We start from the raw sequence: 8382 nt of genomic DNA, 5'->3' as shown, positions 1-8382 counted from the left end.
AAAAAAAAAATCAGCTTGTGGGGCAACCATTTATTAATTAAACTGCTTTATTGAGATATAATTCACACATCATAAAATTCACTCATCTAATTATGCAGTGTATTGAGTTTTAGTATATTCACAGAATGGTGCAACCACCACCACATTCTAATTTTAGGACAAACCATTTGTTTTCAAAATTGAAGATAAAGAATTCCATGTTATGCAACCTTGGCTAGATTTAGAAACACATCTGTTCTATGGGGTAGTAAGTCTCTGGCCATGAATTCCTCCTGCCTAACTCTATCCTTGAAGGCTCAAGAGGAGCAGGAGCTCAGGGTCTGTACGGCAGGTGTGGGTTCTTAGGGACGGCTCTGACTTGGTGTGGCAAGGCGGCCAGCAGGTCACTTCATGCCCTCTAGCTCCAAACGATCACATTCTGAAAGAAAGGAGAGAGCAGAGATTTCCCAGAGCTTTTTGCCTCTTTCATCAGCAGCAGACGGAAGTCCTGGTCTCCTCTCTTGTACCCTCCGTCTTGGCTTCACTTTTCCTCTTTAAAGGAGCCCAGAGAAACATTCTTTAATTGCTACCCAGACCCGCCTCTAGAGGGCAGACAATTCCCCAGCTGAGCGGGGACACAGACTGCATCTCAGAGCCGCCCCGCTGTTCCATCCGCAGGAACTCTTTTCTAGGATTTTCTGCTTTTGGGTCCCTCCTAGGTTTGCCGCAGCGCATCCCCGTGCTGGCCACCTTCTGGCGCGGTGGGGAGTGGAGGTGTTGTGGTTGTGGCTGTTTTCTTTCTGGAAAGAAATCTCTCAACCTACCCCTCCCGCAACCCCAACTCAGGTTTAGAATGTATCGAAAGGACCGCAAGAGAGTTCTAACCATTTTATTTCATACACGTTACCCTTCATAGTCCCTTTAAAAATTTCGATAAAATGCGCGTGCCATAAAATTTACCATTTAAACTATTTTTAAGCGTACAGTTCTGTGGCATTAAGTACGTTCACATTGTTCAACAATCGCTACCAGGTTTTTTTCATCTTTGCAAACTGAAACTATATGCCCACTAAACAATAACTCTCCATTTCCCCTCTCCCCAGCCACTGGCAACCAGCATTCTACTTCTGTCTCTATGAGTTTGACTACTCCAGGAACCTCATATAAGTGGAATCAGACAGCATTTGTCCTTTTGTGACTGGCTTATGTCACCCAGCAGTGTCTTCAAGATTCAACATATTGTAGCATGTGTCAGAATTCTTTCCCCCTTCCCCCTCCATCCTCCATCCTCCATCCTCCATCCTCCTCCTGCTCCTTCCTCTTCCTCTTCTTCTTCTTCTTCTTTCTTCTTCCTCTTCCTCTTCCTCTTCCTCTTCTTCTTCTTCTTCTTCTTCTTCTTCTTCTTCTTCTTCTTCTTCTTCTTCTTCTTCCTCTTCTTCTTCTTTCTTCTTCCTCTTTTCCTCTTTTTTTTGAGACAGGGTCTTGCCTTGTTGCCCAGGCTGGAGTGCACTCGTGTGATCATAGCTCATTGCAGACTAGAACGCTTGGGCTCAAAGGATCCTCTTGCCTCCCGAATAACCAGGGGTACAGGCATGCACCACCATGCGTAGCTAATTTTTGAATTTTTATTTTTGTAAAGAGAGGGACTCACTATGTTGCTCATGCTTGTCTGGAACTCTTGGCTTCAAGGGACCCTCCTGCCTCCACCTCCCAAAGTGCTGGGATTATGGGTGTGAGCCACTACACCTGGCTCAGATTTTCTTTCTTTTTAAAGTGGAATAATATTCCACTGTATGGCCATGCCACATTTTTTTCATCCATTCTTCTGTCAATGGGCACTTGGGCCGCTTCCACTTTTGGTTGTGAATAGTGTTGCCACGAATGTGGGTGTGCACATATCCCTTTGAGTCCATGTTCTCAACTCTTTTGGGTTTTCATGGTCATTTTTGCCCAATGGGAGAATAAGATGAATCTACCCTAAGGCAGGGCTTCCCCACTTTTTCGTGTCCTGGCTTACAAAGGAAATATCTGTTTGTCTCCCTGGGATTTGGAGCCTCAACAGGGTAGTGGAGGTAACTAGCCCAGCATCCTGCTGCCCCAGCTGCCCCCTCCCAGACATGCCTGGACACATGGGGTAGGGGAGCTCTCTGCTCTGGATAACGAGATTCTCCAGGTTTAGAGCCCATGTGTCAAGTGGTACGTGTGGTGCATGGAGTGTAGACGCTCTAGGTGTGGGTGATGGGATGAGGTGTACTAAAAAGGCTCTTGTTTCCCCTTGGCTCACACCCCTTCCTAGAGTACTTGGCCCTCTGTAGCCCTAGAATGAGACCCACTGGCTCTCATAGCCCCTGGCATAGCAGCTGCTTGGAACAGCTGCATAATGTTACTGAAGTGGAGCAATCAAATTATTGAAAATGCCAGCATTAAGTTAGGATGCCCAAGGCAGGCAGGCGGCTGTGGGGGCTGAGCTGGAAGACTGGGTAGATTTATGGACTGGGGCTGCCGCTCTAGGTGGCACTTAGAGACCAGTGTAAACTGAGCTGCGGATCCCGTTCAGAAGAAAAAGTGAGAAGGAAGCCACAGGCAGGGCTGAGCGGAGGGCAGGTGCCTTGAGGGAGAGGGAGAGGAACAGGGGAAAAGTGGAGGAGGGAGAGGCTGCCCCAGGACTTAGAGCTTCTGTGAGGCTTTGGGGATGCTTCTGCATTTCACTTTTGCAAAAGTCAATTCTATCGATATTACAGTCTCCTTCCCTTGAGACAGATGGGCTGGCTTACCCACCCTGAAGGTTCTTGGGGGCAAGTGCAATTGAGGAAAAGCCAGAATGTGGTGAGGACTGCTTCAGGACTGGTGCAGTGGGAAAGTAACAGAATGGCCATGGAGACAGCACTGAACGCTTCTTTTTCAAATATTTTATTAATCTGTTTGGCCAAACAGGTAATGGAAACTGAGAATAATAATTTGCTAAAAAGTTCAGGTCATGAATGCCCCTTTCCCCCAGGAAACAGAAGACTCCATGGTTACAGAATGCACCATTGGGTTATGACAACGTTTCAAAATAATGTTTCCATTTCATATGTAACAATGTAAACTTCAAAAATAGTAAACTCTAACCCCTGACCCTCTTTACAGATCTATCACAGATAGAATTTTCTGGCAGACCTAAATTGTGTAAGTAAACAGCCTGGTGCTTAAAAGTTTCATAAAAAGGTTTACAGATTTCAGTAAATAATTTTTCAGTCTTGGTCAGGAAGTAAAAGCAGCCAGCAATTCCCCTCCTGCACAATGTACCTTATATGGGTATTGTACACCGCGGGCCACGCTCTGTATACACTGGCCATCAGCTCTGTCATTTTTTTGTACACAGACATACACATATATAGAGAGTTTTATTTGTTTCTAAAGATTTTTACATCTAAATTATAAGACGGCGCCAGTGACGTATCACGTCACCTCGCTTCACATAGGTAAAGACGAAAATTCTGTAGAAGGCACTGTGATTTCTCTTGCATGATCTTACACAGACACGTGAGAGCAGGCCAGCCGGGGCTTGGACTTATCTTGTCCTTCCTGGTACCTGGCACAGACCTGTCCTCTGACAGTTTTTGATGTTCATCATCCATTTCTGCCTTGCCTCTTCACATCCCAGACATCCTTCCCTCCCTCCTTCCATCCCTCCATCCATCCATCCAAATAAATTGACAGTTATCTTTTGGTTCATTGAAATTCCTTAAAATTAAGAGTACAGCTCTGGTATAAAACAAAATATGACCTACCATAGCTGAAAAATAATCACAGTGTGCAATGTCATGTTCAGTTGCTAAGATTCAAAACACTTGCTAAGATTCAAAACACTTGCCCTGATGGCTGGCTTGTCAAGAACGTCAGCCATCCAAAACGATCTACGCAGGGAACTTTTAAACCCACTTTACATTCGTTGGAAAAGCACTGAGAGGTTCTTCTTTTCTCTTTTGTATTGAATTGGTACCCTTAAGTGGAAGGTCTGATGTGGAAAAGTGCAAGCAAATTGGACATGCCAATAAATACCATAGAACTTACCGCAGATGACCAAAACTGTACAGGTATGTACACCTTACCCAACTGAGGTTCCTCCCGGCAGGAATAGACCTCCCAGTCATTACCACCGAGTTCTAGAGGAGTGGTGTTAGCGGGCGAAGGAAGGGCGGGCTCTTCTGTTCTTGCTCTGAGGTCCTGAGCTCAGGTCGGCAGCGCCCTCTGCAGGCTCCTCCTTCTTCCTCACTTTGAGTCGGGTGAGCAGCTTGATCAACCAGACATCCCACTCCTCTGGCAGGAGCAGGAGGAGAAAACCCAGGCCGATGATGATGATGGCGATGACCCGGACCCCATTGAAGACGATCTGACTGGTGTAGTGATCAATCACTGTGGGAGACAGAGCATGGAGGTTTCTCAGCTGCAGGGTTGGGGGCATGTCCCTGGAGAGTGGGCAGGGCCTGGGGGCACCCTCCTCTGTCTGGCAGTGTTGTGGTCTTCCCTGGACCACAGGATTCTCCTCAGTATGATTTTGTTCCAGGTGGGCTGGGGTTACCTCTAGTAAACAACCCTTAACTTTATCAAACCTCTCTGGTATGAAGCCTTGCACTTGTATGTCACCTCCCAAAACTGACTTGGTAGTTCAAACATTGATTTATGTGATTAAAACAAGTGAATGAAGGGCAGTTGAGGAGATGAGAGATAGATAGTACACACACACACACACACACACACACACACACACACGCATTTGACCCTTGAACAACATGGGTTTGAACTGTACGGATCCACTTACATGTGGATTTTCTTCCACCTCTGCCACACCAAGACAGCAAGACCAACCCCTCCTCTTCCTTCTCCTCCTCAGCCTACTCAATGTGAAGATGACAGTGAAGATGAAGACCTTTATGTGGCCCACTTCCACTTAACAAGTAGCAAATATATTTTCTCTTTCTTACGATTTTCTTAATAACATTTTCTTTTCTTTAACTTTATTGTAAGAGTACAATACATAACACAAATAACACATACAACATATGTGAATCAACTGTTTTTCATCAGTAAGGCTTCTGGTCAACAGTACCCCATTAGTAGTTAAGTTTTTGGGGAACTGAAAGTTGTATGTGGATTTTCAACTATTCAGGGGTTTGTGCCCCCATTCTCTACATTGTTCAAGGGTCAACTGTATTTTTTTTTTTTTTTTGAGACAGGGTCTCACTCTGTCACACAAGCTGGAGTGCAGTGGTGCCATCAGGGCTCACTGCAACCTCCACCTCCCGGGCTCAAGCGATTCTCCCATCCAGCCTCCTGAGTAGCTGGCACTATAGGTGCCACCACGCCTGGCTAATTTTTGTTATTATTATTATTATTATTATTTTTGTAGAGATGGGGTTTTGTCATGTTGCTCAGGCTGGTCTAGAACTCCTGGGCTCAAGCGATCCTCCCACCTTGGCCTCCCAAAGTGCTGGGATTACAGGCGTGAGCTCCCGTGCCTGGCCTGTATTTTAATTTTTAATATTGGTAAAACACCCTGTTAATTCACTAGATAAGGAGAGCCAACCAGCCAGTCCCTTGAGCAGATGTCGGGGAGAACCCAAAAGCCAGGCAATGGCTCTGCCTTGACAAGTGAGATACGCGGCAGGGTCCCCGGCTTCTCTCTTCCAATCAAGAGTGGCCTGGGATTCCTTTTCTGGACTCATCATTAAACCTTTTATGTTGCAGGTAAGTAATGAAAAATGATTTTAATGAATCTCTCAAACACCTGGCCATATTATACGCTGAAAGGAAGTTTCTATAGAAGACAACTGGAGCACGCCTTCTGGAGACAGGAACACGGTATGACCACAAACTAAAGATGCAAAGAATGTAGGGGGAGGACGGTGACAAGTGATTTTTCAGAAGCCTGCAGCATCTGGACCATTTTTCTTTTTTACCAGCTGTCCAGGAGCTCAGGTGCTTTCTGCATTTTGAAATGCTGTCTCATCGGTTATTTCATCTGGTTGTCACATCAACCGAAGTAGCAAGGGTAGGTATGACTTTTCATTTGCAGGGGAGGCAAGCTAAGGCTCAGAGAGCAGATATGTTGGGACCACAGATCTCCAGGTGGGTTGTGGTGGTGCTGGGCCTGAGCCCTGTCTCCTGACACCTCCCCCAGGCCTGGTACACTGCCGCCGCTGTGAGGCAGTCCTTCTGGGGGAGTCTGGGCCATGGTGGGGCAGAGAGGTCGAGCGCCTTTGGAATGGGAGCGGTGGGAAACCAAGTCATGAGGAAAGGCTTGGGAAATTGGGGTGCCTGCAGGCATAGTCACCACCACATTGAACAGGATAAGGGTTTGCCATTCCTTTGGGGTGGGGGGGGGGCAATCTTTTAATGGCCTGGAAGTGGCAGGATTTGGGAGATGGCTTTGGAGGAAGCTGTGCCAGGGACAAAGGAGTGAGTGTTCTGGGGAGGACAGATTCACAGCCCTTTTCTGGCTGAGAGAAGGATGCCTAGGGAGGTCAGGTATGAGGCCAGGAGGTTCTGGGAAGAAAATCCAAAATTCCTATCCGTGCGAGCCAGGAAAAGGAAGGCAGTGAGGGGCAGGTGAAGACAAGCTTCTGAAAGAGCTGTCAACTGTGTGCCTTGGCAACGAGTCCCCAGGGGAAAACAAAGGGCAGTCCCGAGTTCCTGGGCAAAGGGCGTTCTCTCCCTGTCTTCCCGGAGGTCAGGGAAAATGCCGTTCACGCTTCTTCAGCTTGTCAGCATGTTTCTACCTCATGCCTTGAGCAAATTTTCTCCCCCAGAAAGTTACCTGCAAAAGTGACATTTTTTTTCTGCTACATCATTTCCTACATTTGTTAATAATGCTGATGAGATTCATTCTGCTCCCCATACCAGTTAGAATCAAGATGCCTTTAGACTTTCTGTGTCTTGAAGTGGTATGTGAAAATCAGCCCATTATGGAGAAAATATTGCATATATAACTAATAGCAACATTTCACCTAAATGCTTTTTTTTTGGCAGACAGTTAAACACGCATTCTATAGCAGGCAGAGCAATAATATATGTGAGTATGTATGTGAGAGTATGTGTGTGTGTGTGTATGCATGAGTGTGTGTATGTGAGTGTATGTGTGAGTGTGTATGTATGCATGAGTGTGTGTATGTGTGTGTGAGTAGGTGACTGAGTGTGTGTGCTTATGTGCAGATATAGAAAGCCGCATAGGTTTACCTGCATTCACAGGTATGCTGAGGACGATTCCAAGAGACATCAGAGTGGGATATGTAACGGCAATTCCAAAATTTAATACAATATTGAATGCTGAAATAAAGAATGTAAACAACGAGTGTTATTCATGACTGCTGTGTACTTTACCTCCCTGCTGGCCTATCTGACCCAGGTTTTCCTGATGAGGCTGGAGTCATAGGAGTTACAATGACCCTCTGCTCTGATTCAGTGAACTCAGAGTTCCTCTGGGGGCTCCAGGACTTGGGACCAGGAGCAGACACTCTGAGTACTCAGCCCCTCTGTTCCCTGAGTTTTGAAGAAGGGAAATAAGTTTGGAAATGGTAACCACTGAGAAGGTGACTGGGACCATCTTACCAATTTTGCTTTTCTCTGCTGCTGGCAATGCTTCTGGGATAACTGCATGAACAGGAGCTCTGGGAATTGTTTTTTGTTTTTTTGTTTTGTTTTGTTTTGTTTTGTTTTGAGGCACAGTCTTGCACTATCACCCAGGCTGGAGTGTGGTGCACAGTGGTGCAATCATAGCTCACTGCAGCCTCAATCCCTCTGCTCAAGTGATCCTCCCACTTCAGCCTCCTGAGTAGCTGGGACTGCAGGTGCACACCACTGCACCTGGCTAATTTTTAAATGTTTATGGAGATGAGGTCTCATCATGTTTCCCAGGCTGGTCTCGAACTCCTGGGCTCAAGCGATCCTCCCATCTTGGCCTCCCAAAGTGCTGGGATTACAGGCATGAGCCACTGTACCTGGCTGGGATATGTGTTTTTAGATGGAAACTGGGTAAGTCATGTCCTTGGTTGCATTCCTGCCTAGCTCTAGACTTATATCAAGTAATGGAGACAATGATGATGATATTAATAATAATGATAATCTATAGTATTTATTGAATATTGACACTTATCAGGCAATGTTCTAAGACCTCTGCAGGTATTAATTTATCAGCTCCTTGCTGTACTGTGCTTAGTAGGTAACATGCAACACCCTGGGGTATTAGTTCATTATTCAGAGCAGCAGTGACCACTGCGACTACTGCACTGATTCTGGCTCTGGAATTCAAATCCAATGTCATCATTTCAAAGACTACTTTGTGAAACAGAAAGATCTTAAAAACCAGTGAGAACTAAAGAATAGCAAAGAGCACTGTTTTCTGCCTTCAGGGAACATGTTTCC

At 46.0% G+C, this 8382-nt stretch overlaps 1 protein-coding gene across 2 annotated transcripts in view, besides 1 other annotated feature; it reads right to left on the bottom strand.

Annotated features, from left to right (window-relative positions):
* Window positions 634–803: an enhancer, noted in NCBI's record as "experimental_6359 CRE fragment used in MPRA reporter constructs". NCBI's record gives its function as "activates a minimal promoter by MPRAs in K562 erythroleukemia cells, with activity observed for the non-introgressed 1:234462413 variant allele {active_cell/tissue: K562}" and the evidence as "EXISTENCE:reporter gene assay evidence [ECO:0000049][PMID:34662402]".
* Window positions 2874–8382, bottom strand: part of SLC35F3 (solute carrier family 35 member F3) — a 419836-nt gene continuing 414327 nt past the window's right edge. For both annotated transcript variants that reach the window (NM_173508.4, NM_001300845.2), the window contains 2 exons: window positions 7198–7287; window positions 2874–4377 (listed from right to left, as the gene is read on the bottom strand). In NM_173508.4, coding sequence (NP_775779.1) covers window positions 4142–4377; window positions 7198–7287 — 326 coding nt within the window. In that variant the 3' untranslated portion in view covers window positions 2874–4141. The remainder of the gene's footprint in view (window positions 4378–7197; window positions 7288–8382) is intronic.

The sequence above is a fragment of the Homo sapiens genome, chromosome 1, assembly GCF_000001405.40.
Source record: "Homo sapiens chromosome 1, GRCh38.p14 Primary Assembly".
NCBI lineage: Eukaryota > Metazoa > Chordata > Mammalia > Primates > Hominidae > Homo > Homo sapiens.
The sequence above is the reverse complement of the archived record's forward strand: the minus strand, read 5'-3'. Positions and strand labels throughout refer to the sequence as shown.